The 13,000-nt window shown below is 36.3% G+C and overlaps 1 pseudogene, besides 1 other annotated feature; it reads left to right on the top strand.

Annotated features, from left to right (window-relative positions):
- Window positions 3,945–4,239: a silencer, noted in NCBI's record as "tiled region #9541; HepG2 Repressive non-DNase unmatched - State 13:Ctcf". NCBI's record gives its function as "represses a minimal TATA promoter and a strong SV40 promoter by Sharpr-MPRA in HepG2 cells {active_cell/tissue: HepG2}" and the evidence as "EXISTENCE:reporter gene assay evidence [ECO:0000049][PMID:27701403]".
- OR10N1P (olfactory receptor family 10 subfamily N member 1 pseudogene) lies at window positions 6,387–7,309 on the top strand (annotated as a pseudogene).

Genomic DNA, 13,000 nt, shown 5'->3' with positions numbered 1-13,000 from the left:
AACATATATTGCTCATCCAGAGGTTCGGAAAATTGTAGAGAAAACAAGAAACCAGGTTCTAATTTATCAGGATCTACCTCGGTCTGTCACATAATTAAGTCTATGAGCTTTAGATTCAGTCTGGGGCTTGAGTCCTACCTCTAGTTCTTAATAGTTGTATAATTGTGAGAAAGCAATTTAACTACTCCGAGTCCATGTCATCATTTGTAGAATGAACTGATAATACCTAGTCTATATGTATGTTGTAATCATTAAATGAAATAAGTTTTAAGGCATATGTCACAAGTTGGCATTCTCTAAATGTTAGTTCCACTTTCCTTTTGTTGGGTTGGCCAGCGGAATTTTGAGAATCTGGAAAACTATATGCCACTTAGATTTCCACATAGAAAGGCTACTTTCATGAAAAGGATTCTGAGATTTCTTATACTTTTTCTAAATCTGGCAACATTATTTTAGTTTTGGTTTGGTAGTTTTTTCTGCTCACCATCTTTTGGTTTTAATTACTCATCGTTAAAACAAACAAAACAAAACCACCATTGTTTTTAAAAAACCCTCATCTTAAAATTGGGAAGGAAAAGAGGAAAAGAGCAAGTGGGGGGAAAAGCAAAAGGAAGGATTCTAACAATGAAATTAAAGAGGTGAGAAATCTTTGTTTATCCAATTTCAAGAAATATAAATCTCATGGGTACACAGTATGTCAGAAAGTTTACAAGCATTATCTAAACACTCAAAATCACCCTGTGAAATACTATCATAACTGCATTTTACACAACACAAAGTGAAGGCTCAAAGAGCACCAGGTACCTGCTCAAGGACATATAGCTAATGAGAAACAAACTTGTTCTTCGCACTCAGAACCTTCTGGCTCCAAAGTGAGTATTCTATTCATTATGTTATAATTTCTTCCACAGCCATAAGAGGTATAGGGATGGGTAGAAACTGGAAAAATGACAGATTTGGTAGGCCAAATCCCTGAAGTCTGCACAGAACAAAAGAGACTGATGAGATATCTACCCAAACCAGAAAAATAGGGTGGTCAGGAGGGATCCACAGCTCTTTGATTCCCAGTTCCTTTAAAGGGTATCGTGATTACTGCATCCTGTTTGCTAACTCCTAAACTCTTCCAATATCTGCCATTTAATTGATCCCTGTGCTCAGAGGGCTCCTGCTCCCTGTCTCAGAATAGATCATAGATGAGGCTCCAGGGGACTATGAGACCATTTAAAATTCCACAAAGGTAGGGGATATTTTCACTTTCGCTAACTCTGAGGAAGTCATCCTAGGCCATAGGGCAGCCATCAGATGTATAATATCTTCTGTATGGTTCTGAATGAAAAAGAAAAAGCCGTTTGGGGTCTGCAACTGGAGAACTCAAACCCAACTCCTTGGCACGCTGAGAAATGAGATGTTTGGGATGGAGAGCCCCATACTCTATAGAAGAAACAGAAGACAAAAGAAGGGTTAAAAACATTTGTGTTCCTTAATTGAGCTGGTCGTGATCCTTGTGACTATGTAAGTATTCAGAGCTTCTCCTCAACTTCCTTAATTTTTACTTGTTTTCCTCACTCCAAAGACCTGAGTAGCAAGAATTGTTAGAAGAAATCACCGTGAAGTGCTTCTTTCTCATTCTATATGGCAGCCAGAGTCTTTTCCTCCACTCACCTTCTCATACAGCATTTAGGAATGTATTTCTTGATTCCTTTCCTTTTGTTGTTACTAATGAATTCAGCATCCATCACATTCCAAGCCCCACAGAGTTGCTTAGAATTAAAATTTAGTTGGTTATATTCCTTGACATGGAGAAAATAAATAATCTTTAGCAGACAAATATATATATAACAGACATTCTTCTGGTTCTCTTCCTAATTCTCTGAAGGATATGTACATTTCTTCTTAAATGACTCCCTTTCCTTCTCCTTTTCCTAAAATGTAGTATTTCTCAATGTTTGGCCTCCAGTACTATTTTGTCTTGACTACACCAATCTCTCCTAGTGATATCATTCAGGCTTAAGACATTGACTATCATTTTCATTATTATTATATGTACTATGGGGAGTCCCATGCTAAAGAGTTTTCCAATCTTCTTTAGCATGGGACTCCCCATAGTAAATATAATAATAATGAATATTACATATTCATTATTTATATATATATTATATGGACTCCCCACAGTAAATATAATAATAATGAACTATTATATAACATCTTATTAGGTATCAAACTCTTTCATGAACATCACCATATTTAATCTTTACAGCGATTCTGTAAGATAAATATCTCAGTTAATAGTAACATGAGTGGGTGCTTAGTATAAACCAAGCACAATTATAAGAACATTCCACATATTCAAGAAGCACAATTATAGTGTAGATATCAAAATACAGGTGGGTGAAACACAAAGAACTGTCCTATTTTACCTGTATTGTCCCGCCTTAATTATTAATCGTGCTCCCCTTTGCTCTTAAAGTGTCCTAGTTTGAATGATAATTTTTAGCTGCCTAGTTAAGGTTTAGGCTACTGGTGCAAGGAATACTTTCTGCTTCTGTAATGATGGGAAGCCGAGGCTCAGAGAATATAAATTACTGGCCCATAGTCACACCACCAAGTAGCAGAACTTGAGCTTGAATCTTTAAACCTCTGATTTAAGTTCTTTTTAATATTCTATGATGTCTCTTTTCTAGACAAATGTTTGGATTTGAATAGAATCTTCTAGGAAAGCTATATTTATTTCTATTATGGTTGCAACCCTAAATTACTATTTAAATTATCATTCTCAGTTCCTCATTTCTTTGATGGCTGTGAACCTGTCTGGTTGTGGGTCTAGAAATGGTGAGGAACTTAAATATTTAAAATTTTAAAAAATAATATTTGAAGTTATAAGGACAGAAATTTCTTAAAGTCATGGTTAATAAAATCTCAACCTGAAATGGTATCGTTTTCATGAGCTATTTCTCATAGATCTCCTTTTCTTTGAATTTTTATCTTACAGAAAGTCATGTTTATATTGTACTGCTTTCGAGTCAACAGCTGAGTAACTCACATTTCACTTTGTCTATCACTGATACCATGTATTAGCATAATTCATTTTTGAACGATTGGGAGGGGTTCTTTCTTGTGGGGTGTGGAGGATGCAGGAGGCACTTAAGCCATGGTTTCCAATCTCCTCTATCACATATATTATTTTTGCACCTCAATATAATTCAGAGGAGACCTCCATCAGTGCTCAGGGGTATTTTCTAAACACTTCCCCAAACTGTGAGTTACTTAGCATTAGCTGTACTCATGCTGATATTAAGTCAATACATTACAAGAATATTTTTACCCTTGTCAGAGTAAAGGACTAAGTAAAAGTTGCTGGGCATCTGAAATATATCAGACACCCTATTAGATGCCTTATATTACATTATCCCATTCAGTCTGCCAAACAACCCTTAGAATGTAATACTATCCTTATTTTGGAGATAAGCAAATGGAAGTCATAGCAGAGTCACAGAATTAGTAAGCAAGAGCCTAGATGTAAAACAAAATCTGCCTGGCTTAAAATCTTGTCTTTCCTTATCAACATTGCCTTATTGGCTCCTCTCATCCAAGCAGAGAACAATAGAATTCTCTATCTTTTTCAAGGTTATATCAGGAATATCATCATATGTAATCCTTACACAATTCTGTGAGGTAAGTATTATCTCAGTTAATCAAAAACAAACATTAGTGGATACTCACTATATACCAAGCACAACTATAAGAACATCCCACATTTTGGCAATATTTTCCCATTGACTTGATCTTGATTTCCAACATCAAACTAGTTTTTCCATTTATCCCCTAGATTTTCTTAGTTTAAAAGTCACAAATTACACTCCACTTTTCTGTGCTGAGTTATTAAACGTCTTTTTCTAGGAATGCATTAAAATAACTACATAGCAGTTAACTCTATTTGTCCTCTGTTCATTGAGCCTAACTGAAATTGTTCAGAAACCTCCCAAGATACCTATGTGAAGAGATGACTAATCCAGATCATGGAGGCCACCCAGTGGCCATGCACTTGTTCTTCAACAACTAAGGCACACATACAAACTGATTTCAGATCCAGATGATCCCCCAGAGGAAGAAGACAAAAGGATCCTGGGGTAAGGAGGTGGGGTAGTGGAGGGGAATGAAGAATACTAGCTTTCCCCCAACAAGAAACCCCAAAGGACCCCAAAATTCAAAGAACCCAATACAATAAACAGAATCTCTATAGACTTGATGCCTTAAGACAATAATAGATTGCATCAATTTCATTAATATGTTGTGATAACACTTTTCCAGATTTGATTATCACATGATCTAAGACATAGGATCTAAAGCTGGTACCTAAGGTTGTGTGAATAATTTTGTCCTATTTAAGATATTGTTTACAATAACTCCTTTTCACATTCTTTAGTTGTTGCTGTGACAGAACTTTCCACTAATCATAATTTTGTTCTTTTCCCTCTCTTCAGAAAGGTCCATTTGCCTTCCTTAACTCTCCTCCAGCAAGAGGTACTTATGAGTTACAGCAATTTCAAAGATATTCAAGCCTCATCCTATCTCTCCTAGTTCAGCAATTAGATACTCTACATTTCAATGAATATCTAAATTCCTTTTACTAGGCATGTATCTGAAGCCAAAAGTAGGCTGACTATAACCATTTTTTTGCAGGGGTTAAGAAAAAAGACTTAAAATAGTCGAAGGACCAAAGGAATAATTCTAGAGCATCCAAAAATTTGATCGAAATAAACACACTTGTTGGGTGCTGCTACTTCTTAAATCCTAGTGATACAATGATGAGCAAGAATAAACATGGTCTCTTCATAGAACTCACAGTCAGATAATATCCATAAATTAATTTCCAACTTTTCATTCATTCATTCCTCTAACAAATATTTAAATTCCAGCTATTCAGAAGCACTGTGACACGTGCTGCAGATTCAATGACAAATTATAGGTACTACTCTCAGGGATCTGGAAGTCTAACAGAACCTGAACTCAATTCCTTCAGTACTTCCTGTGTATATATGGATGATATTCATCTATCTTACCACTTCCATATTTTTAGAGGCTAAAATTATCAATCAATAACTATTACTTATAAAGAGGATCAGAGAAATTGACCAGGAATTGTAAGTAGAGATAAGGGCAATTATTTGTTTTGATATTTGGGAATATCAAAAATATATATATCAAAAAAGTAAAAACTGAAAATGAAAACATCCTTCTTGGATGATTCACAAGAGCCTTTGTATTCAAGCACTGTCATATCCCAGCGGCAGTTACATGTTCTCAGCCTATACAGTTACCTCTTTCCCTTAAAATAAAACAGTCAAATTCATAGAAGCTGTGCGCAAAATGATGGTTGTCATGGGTGGGCAGGGAAGACAGGGAGACCGAGTTACTAATCAATGGCTCTAAAGTTTTAGTAATGCAAGATGAGTCTAGAGATCTGCTGTACAGTATTGTCCCCATATTGTTAATAATAATATTGTATTCTATACTGAAAATCTGGTAACAGAGTACTTCTCATGTTAAGCGCTCTTACACAACAAAATAATAAAAAAAAATTTTAAAGATAAAAACACACAAAAAGCTTCTGAATTGAAATATTTAATTTCATTATTTTAAGGATTCAAAAAATCCAATCATTAGCAAAGATTAAATATTTCATATCTGCATCTTTATATATGATGTGACTTCACTAAAACCTAAAACTAGGATATAATAATATATCTCAGCTGCTAATCTCTAAGCAATTTAAAACCTCAGAATAATAACCAAATCAGTCACTGTTAGTTTCTTTTCAGACAAATGAATATTTCCAAATAAGAACATGCCAAAAATAAAAAGTTTATCTATAATTAGAATGATATTAACACAACCCAAATCTTAAAGCTCATTGCATTGTATCTCAATCCATCATTCTTATTAGACATGTCAATGACCAAATTGACTTTTGGTGAATAATTAGGGCATCTGATCACATCTTTGAGTAACTGTAGAAATATTCTGAAGAGGAATCAGGAGGATCTGACTTATCAGTTGGTCTTTTTAGGGCATTCATTACTGTATAATTTGTTGTGGACATTAATTATGTTCTCTGTTTTCTTAGCCCATCCAACATTTCACCATATTAATGTTTCATTTTGTTTTGTGTCTATATTCATGAAGGAATATATCTGAAGATATGAAGGCCTATGCATGCTTTACTAATTCCTAAATGTCTTTGGAATAATTTCTAATTCTTAATTTCAACATCAACTTAATGTTTAAACAAAAATTGGTGCCAATGAATGTATTGGTATTGTGTTTATCCCAATTAGCCTCCACATTCATATTTTCACACATTTTGTGAAAACCCAGACTACCCTTCCATGAACATGAGGAATCACACATTGCTGAATGAATTCATTCTACGGGGAATACCTCAGACAGAGGGACTGGAGGCTGTACTCTGTGCTGTCTTCTCATTCATCTACCTCTTCACCCTACTTGGAAATTTACTCATCCTTATAGCGATTGTTTCTTCACACTCCTATGTATTTCTTCTTGGGACGCCTGTCTACTTTTGACATATTGTTCCCATCTGTAACATGTCCCAAGATGCTATTGTATCTCTCTGGCCAGAGCCCAGTCATTTCTTTTAAGGGATGTGCTTCACAGCTCTTCTTCTATCAGTTGCTGGGTTCTGCTGAAGGCTGCCTCTATTCTGTGATGTCTTATGATCGCTTTGTTGCCATACATCACACACTGAGATATATGCTCATCATGAAGCCTGGAGTCTGTGTCGGCTTGGTCGTGGTGCCGGGTTGGTGGGTTGTCTTCACGCCACCATTCTGACCTCCTTTACCTTTCAGTTGTCCTACTGTGGCCCCAATCAGGTGGACTACTTCTTCTGTGACATTCCTGCTGTTTTACCCCTGGCTTGTACTGACAGTGCCCTGGCCCAGAGGGTGGGTTCCATAAATGTTGGCTTTCTGGCTTTAACACTTTTGATCAGTGTCTGTGTCTGCTACACTAGCATTGGGATTGCCATCTTGAGAATCCGCTCATCAGAGGGCAGGCAGAAAGCCTTCTCCACCTGCAGTGCTCACCTTGTTGCAATCCTCTGTGCCTATGGACCTGTAATCATCATCTATCTGAAGTCCACACCCAACCCCTTGCTTGGTGCCAGGTGCAAATATTAAATAATGTTGTCTCACCCATGCTGAACTCGTTAATCTATTCCTTAAGGAACAAGGAAGTGAAAAGGTCCCTGAAAAGAGTATTCTGAAATGTTTTACTTACTGTTTGTGAATAAATTATGAGTTATTATTGGGAATAAATGTCATAATTAACATTATTCTTTGTCTCTTAGTTCTGGATAAGGAATCCAAAGGGCATAGCAAGCACTTGGAGATAGATTTTTTGTCCCTGTAATAGGTAGCCAATATTTCCTGGTTGAGGATAAAGAGGATCTGTAGCAGTCCAAGAAGCACCCTTCAATAGTTCCTCTCTGTCCAAATCAACATTCAATTTTACCTTACTTTTTGCTCCAATTAAAATATAATTGTTCCCCTTTTCTGCCTATAAGAATTTCAGTTCTTCCACCTTGTGAAGAAGAATATTAACTAACATTCATAGAGCATGATCTGTCTTCTGGGCATTGTGATGAGCATTTCACGTACATCATCTTATTAAATCTTCACATCACCCCTATAAAGTAGATTTTACATAATGTAGAAAAGAGTTTTGAGGATTAAATATTTCAAATAATGAACCCAAGGTTACACATTAAGCAGCAAATCAGACCTCAAACTCAGCTCCTGTTAACTCCAAATCACCTCCCTGCTATAGATTCCTGTACCACATAGCTACCCTAAGTGACCTCTTTTTACTCATCCTGCAATTTACTCATCCTAATTACCTCTCTCCAGAGCTCATGATACAAAGAAGTTGTCTGATAAATAACTGGTAAAATAAGTACTGACATAGGTTATGTCTATATACAGTCATCCCTCAATATTCATGGGTTCTGCCTTTGTGAATTCAACCATTGTGGATCAAAAATATTCAGAAAGTAAATTTTACAAAGTTCCAAAAAGCAAAATTTGAATTTGCCTCGCTTGAGTACTACATTGAATTCATGTGCATGAAATGGTGGTAGGCATTGTATTAAGTATTATAAGTAATCTAGAGATGATTTAAAGTATACAGGAGGATGTGCATAGGTTATATGCAAACACTACACCATTTTAAATAAGGGACATGAGTATACTTGGATCGTGGTATTTATGAGGGTCCTAAAACCAATGCTCTGAGGATACTGAAGGACAACTGTATTGACTTTATTATTATCTCCACTTACTCTATTCTACTACCCAATATTCCCACCTGCAGATGGTGGAACTGAGATACAGCAATAAGTGTCTTCCTTGTGTACTACATTCAGTTATGCTAAAGCCAGCCCTAGACACAAGCCCTCTTAAGTCCTACTGTGTCATGGTTTTCCTACTGCATCACACTGCCAATATGTCAAAATACTCTTTAGTGTAAACGCAGGGGGAAAGTCTTTCCATCCAGTGTTGTTGAAGACAAGATGGTCTAATTATGGGGCTTAATTGGCATGCTCATTTGATTCTCCCAGCAAGTTACTTTTTGTAACTTAACTTCCAACAAGACTGGAGTTGATAACTGTTTCTCGACTTTCTCAGAATCTAAAGTGAAAGAAATGGTACTATTAATTGGGGATCCCACAGACACGCCAGCTCCTAGTTTCCATGACATTTTAGTTATTTGTAGTTTTTCTATTCCATTTATAGTCCCCAAAGTTCCCTTCGTATTTGAAACCAGTAAACAAAAACAAGTAAAAATCTCTAATAAAAATGCTTACTTTACAAATAGCATGAAGCAAAAAGGATAAAATGAAGCTCCTTCAAGCATAGTTAAACGGTTTTATTGCAATAGGAGGATTCTATGGCTCCTCCTAACTTGATTGGCAAAAATCCAAGATGTCATAGCATCTTATTCCCACACTTTGGAGATGCCTATCAGAGATGATATGCTGGATTCAAATAACCCTAGTGTTAGTTTGCTGTTCTACTAGTGCAGGGTATTTGTAGAAGAATCTACATGTCATGATATCTGGTAAAGCCTGAATAGTGTTTAGGGACAGATGTTCAACACACTGATACTTCTATAACAGATTTCTTTTCTAGACAATGGAAAGTTTCATAAAAGTAGGGATTATGTGTGTCTTGCTCACCATTGTATCCATAGGACATAGCCCAGTGACATAGTAAGCTTCCAGTGTAGGTTTGCTGAATGAATGAATGGATAGCTCTTTACCCATTCAAATTGTGATGCAATTGTATATTTATCGATACAGAGGAACGTGTGCGAAATAATTAAGATACAGAATAATATTATGTCTGAATTTAAATATATATTCATGTTTAGGTAAAACTGATGATATATAAAAAACAAAATCTGAATGACCAACTTTTTGGCTTTTTCTAAATTAGTCTTGCAATGACTGGCACTGAAAAGAGAAACTTTAACCATTTAAATCTTTCCTATATCTAAAAGCACACAACATGAGATTTTATTTAAAACACATGTGCACACATACATAAACACACACAGACACACATATTCACTTTTTAAAATCTTACCTCATTAACAACAACAGCAACAAAAGCAAATAACCTGATTGAAAAATGGGTAAGGGACTTAAATAGACATTTATCCAAAGAAGAGACACAAATGGCAAATAAGTATATGGAAAGATGTTCAATATCACTGAGCATTGAGGAAATGCAAATTAAAACCACAATGACATATCACTTCAATAAGGATGGCTACTATTTTAAAAATTACAATAGTAATAAGCTTGGGCTATGATGTGATAAATTGGAACCCTTGTACACTAATGACGAGAATGTAAAATGGTGCAGATGATATGGAAAACAGTATTGTATTTTCTTAAAAAAGTAAAAACAGAATTACCATATGATCCAGCAATTCCAGCTCTTGCTATACATACAAAAGAAATAAAAGCAGGGTCTTGAAGATACATTTGTACACCCACGTTCCTAGCAGCATTAATCACAATAGGCAAGAGTCGAAAGCAACCCAGTATTCATTCAATGAATGGATACACTAAATGTGGTATATACACACAACAAAACATTATCCAGACTTAAAAAGAAAGGAAGTTCTGACACATGCCACAACATGGATAAGCCTCAAGGACATTATGCTAAGTGAAATAAGCCAGTCACAAAAAGACTGTTTAAATCCAGTAACATGAGGTACCTAGGGTAGTCACATTCATGGAAAAAGAAATTAGAATGCTGGTTCCCAGGAGCCACAGATGTTGGAAGGAAATGGAGAAGTTGTTTAATGGTAATAGAGTTTCAGTTCTGCAAGATGAAAAAGTCCAGGAGATTAGTTGAGCAACAATGTAGATAGTCAAGCAACAATGTAAATAAACTTAGCACTACTGTACTATATATTTCAAAATGGTTAAGATGTTAAATTTTATGCTTTGTGTATTTTACCACAATTTTCTTTTTCTGAGACAGAATCTTGCTCTGTTACCGAGGCTGGAGTGCAGTGGTGCAATCATGGTTCACTATAGCCTGGACCTCCCCACTCAAGAGATCCTCCCACCTCAGCCTCCAGAGCATCTGGGACTATAGGTGTGCACCCCACATCCAGACAATTTTTGAAATTTCTTTTAGAGATGAGATCTCATTATGTTGCCCCCAGGCTGGTCTCAAACTCCTGGGCTAAAGTGATCCTCTCATATTGGCCTTTCAAAGTACTGGGCTTACAGATGTGAGCCACCACACCTGGCCTACATTTTTTTTAAAGTTTGCTTATGCAGTTTTCGCACATTCTGTGGCTTATTAGTTATCTCCTTTTTCCTGTAACTACGTCTACTGTAGTTGAACCCTCTCAAATCACTATTTCTTTATTTTTTATACCTCCATTTGGTGTGGGCAGAGAAAGAGTTTGAGAAGTGTAGTCTAAGGTAGCTTTTCAGAAGATCTGCCTAGAGTAATAAGTTACCATTCATTGAGTCCTTATTCCTCACCAGGCACTGCGTAATTGCTTTTTATATATTATCTAATGTAATTTACCTATGAGTTCTATGAGATCATTTTACAGAAGATGAAATGAGATTTAGGGATGTTAGGTAATTTTCTTTAAGCCACACAATTAGTTTGTGGATGTAGATGGGAATCTGTCTCAGATCTTCATGCAGCTATGCACAATACAGCAAATTTGATGAAACTTTAGAAATAAACATTTGGCCTTCCACACCCCCCTCAAAAAAAAACTTACCCCAACTTCTTTTTTTCCTTTCAATCTCTCAGATGCGTGAAAGCTCATCTGAGAGAAAACTCATTTGTAATAAAATATTCGAATCCCACAGAGTGGGGTACGATTATGCTCATTCTTATCTTGTTACTATCCTCTGTTGGTTCTAATCCTCTGGGTATTCCCAGAAGATACCGTGTGGGGCTTTACCTGATAATTAGAGTTAAAACATGGTTTGTAGTGCACATTCAGGTATAGAAACGTAAGGCAGAAAATGAAGCTTTGTTCTGACATTGTCACACGAGGCTAAAGCAGGGCCTTAACCCACACACATTCCCCGCAGCATTTCTCTGCCCTAGTGATTATCTTTCCTCTTTTTTTCCTGACCAAATATCTCAAAATTCTATAGCCCAGTGATCTTCCTTATTTGTCTCCCTGAAGGTGCTCTTGCGCCCTACAACTGCTCTCCTGACTGTAGCTAGAATTATCTTTCACATTCTCTCTTCCACAATGTGCCGAAACTCAATGCTGCTTAAAACTGTCTTACATTTTCTTAAGCCCCCTAATGTAGAGATCGCAATCTTTAAAGAGCAGAGCCTTTAGTCATCATTTGCTTTTCTGCCTCTCAAGTTTTATCTCAATTTTTTTCCTCTCTTTCCTCAAGTTCTTCAAATATACTTTACATCTTTCCAATGAAGGCTTTGCGCATGCTATTACCCCCGCCTAGAAAGGTTTTCACTTTCAGATCTCAGCTGGGATAACAGTTTCTCAGGGAAGTCCCCTTCTACCTTCAGGGAACATCAGCTAGCCATATAAATCATGATGTGGATACATATTTAATTTACTGATATGAAAGAGGAACATGAGTAGGATACAAATACTCTACCACGATAGCTTTTCAATCCACAGCACTTCTTCCTAGCCCTTACCGCCTTAAATAATTATCATTTATATATGTAGGATTATTTGACCAATGCCTCTCTTCTTCTACTAGACTGTAAGCTCATTGAGGACAGAGACTTTGGCTAGTTCCTGTTCACCAGAACATGGCTGTTTTTGTGTATGTTGGTAGCTGTAATAAATTTTTGACTTAATAAAGGCTAAAATGACCTCAATAAAATCTCTGATTTGTTCATGTAAACTTTTCTCCTCTTGTAGCCTTTTCTTAGCTTCTTATCTGCTTCAGATTTCTTAAACATTATTATAATTAGTTCTAAATTACTAAAATCCTTCCCTCCATCATGTCTTCCTGCCCAGTCTTCAGTGAGCTCACCTGCTTGTTCCATTCACACACCCACCTTGTTATGCTCTTTTAGAGAAAAATCACAAACCAAGCAGGTCAGCAACCCTATAAATTTATTATTGTCTACCTCTAGTGTTTGCTAGCAGTTTTAATACTTTTCTTCTACAGTATTGATCCTATTTCTTACCAGAATGACTATACATGAGTTTGGGGTCTCAAACTTCTACTTAACTTCTAGGCTCTCACTCACAAAGAATGAAAATCGAAATCACCAGCAAATGGAGAATGAAAAGATCAGCAAGATCTCAATATTCCCAGTCATAAAGTTCTCTGGGAAAATGAGTGGAAAATGTGGCTTAATCCAAGCCTAAGTGGAGACTCTTCTTTCTAGGCTGAATTGGAGACAGCAGGACCTGCGGCCCAAGAGCTACCTGATTT

The sequence above is a fragment of the Homo sapiens genome, chromosome 11 (genome assembly GCF_000001405.40).
Source record: "Homo sapiens chromosome 11, GRCh38.p14 Primary Assembly".
NCBI classification, from domain to species: domain Eukaryota; kingdom Metazoa; phylum Chordata; class Mammalia; order Primates; family Hominidae; genus Homo; species Homo sapiens.
Note: the sequence above shows the minus strand (reverse complement) of the source record. Positions and strands in the feature narration are given on the sequence as shown.